The following is a 1,842-nucleotide window of genomic DNA, read 5'->3' as shown; positions in this document are numbered from 1 at the left end:
ATCTGCCTGTTTCATTCCGTGAAAGTGAGAGGATGTAAAGTGACTGTCCAGGAGGAAGGGTGAAGTCTCTATAACCATAAAGAAAAAAAGGAGTTCTTTTTTCCCGCAAACTTGAAGCTTTCTCATGCATGTGAAAGTGGACTACCTGATCTTGATTTGCTTCCACCACACACTATGATTTGCTCACCATTATCATCAATCAGCATTGAGCACACACAGTGTGCAAACCACCAGTTAAGTCACAGTGGAAACGACAAAAGGATGTGGAACACAGCCCCTATCCTCCAACACATAATAGAGGACTTGAGACAATGAGACACACATACAAAGACAAATACCAGTACAAGATGGTATTTAACAGGTACTACATCCAATCAATAACCCTAACAAATAAGCAAATAAGAACGTACAGAAATAGAAAAGGAAAAGGGGCTAAAAAACTTCTCCAAGGTTATACAGCAAGGTTGCAGGCACCACATCTATTCCTGCACAAATAACATCTAGTATTTACTGAGTCCCTTCTGTGCCGGGGACTGTGCTAAACCTTCTACATGGGTTGTCCCATTTATTCCATGTAAGAACCTAATGAGGTCATGTCATTGTTATCCCAATATTACAGATGAGGAAACAGAGGTTTGGTGACGTAAAATGACTGTGCAAGGCATTCAGTCATTCAATGAGAAAGCTGAGTTCTCATTCAGGTCAGTTCAACTCCACAGGCCGTGTCCTGAACTCTCATTCTCTATTGAATGTGTGGTATCATACTCGATATCTGATTTCCTTTTTGCACCCTATAAGTGTGACTTTGCCATTTGGCTTCACAATGTAAAATATTTGGCAGTCATAATTGCTAGGCATATAAACTATGTCAAGCATCTAGAGCAAATGATACTTAGATTTGGCTACTCAGAGTCACATATGGACAAAAGACAAAAAAGAAAATCCCAGGTTGTGATTTTAAACCACAGAATGACAATCAGCATTCCAGGAATGACCCATGCACTAATTAATTATAGAAGTCATTTATTGCTTTAGGACACACGGATAAGAAACGGCTTTTAATATCCAATTCCATATTAAGGATAGTCCTTTTCATGATTCTAGGAGAAAAGATAGGTATTATAATATCTTTGTAATGACATCAATTTATAATAGCACATAGAGGTAGCCAAAGCTGTGAAAGTCTGAATGCTGACACTAAAACGTGTCTGGAGACTGGCCTTTTGCTTTCAAAACACCCAATCGAATGTCTCTGGACTCCTACACCTCAAGCACCAACAAAAGTTAGCATTCTTCCATGGCAGTTCACTTTTAATATGATACCATCAACAATGATCACTAGAATATGTGATTTGGGCCATTTTTGTAACAGCGAGCATCCACTTGTGCTGATTCATCCACAGATTTTCCGGCCAGATGCCCCATTGGCAAAGCCCTGGAGCCTTCCCTTCATTAGTTCTCCGCTCCAGCCATCCGAGGTAATTCCTTCCTTTTCTCTCTCCTGATCTGTCGGTTGCAAATAGAAGGAATAAACAAACCTTCCGGAATGGATAAGCCAGGCTGCACAAAGGGATACACAGGAAGGATGTGCAGGGTTTACAGCTTGAAACAGGGAAGGGGCTTCCTTTCTCTACCCCTGATGCCCTAATTTGGGCAGGGTTAAGGGCAAGGTAGAGAAGTCAAGGGCACCAGCAAAAGAAAGATAATAAGGGGAGTGTCTGCTGCTGTGAAGAAACCATCTGTATCCACTTCAGAATCTCCTATTTCTCTTCAAATTTGTTCTACTTTTCTCTGGTTTGTTTTTATTGAATCAGAACTTGGAGACAAGTTTTTAAGTGAGCT

The 1,842-nt window shown here is 40.6% G+C and overlaps 1 annotated feature.

Annotated features, from left to right (window-relative positions):
* Positions 1,296-1,515: a silencer, noted in NCBI's record as "fragment chr18:24348457-24348676 (GRCh37/hg19 assembly coordinates)". NCBI's record gives its function as "represses an EF-1alpha promoter that drives an FKBP-Casp9 reporter gene in an ReSE screen in phorbol 12-myristate 13-acetate-treated (for megakaryocytic differentiation) K562 erythroleukemia cells {active_cell/tissue: K562(+PMA)}" and the evidence as "EXISTENCE:reporter gene assay evidence [ECO:0000049][PMID:32094911]".

This window comes from Homo sapiens, chromosome 18, assembly GCF_000001405.40.
Source record: "Homo sapiens chromosome 18, GRCh38.p14 Primary Assembly".
Lineage (NCBI taxonomy): Eukaryota > Metazoa > Chordata > Mammalia > Primates > Hominidae > Homo > Homo sapiens.
The sequence above is the reverse complement of the archived record's forward strand: the minus strand, read 5'-3'. Positions and strand labels throughout refer to the sequence as shown.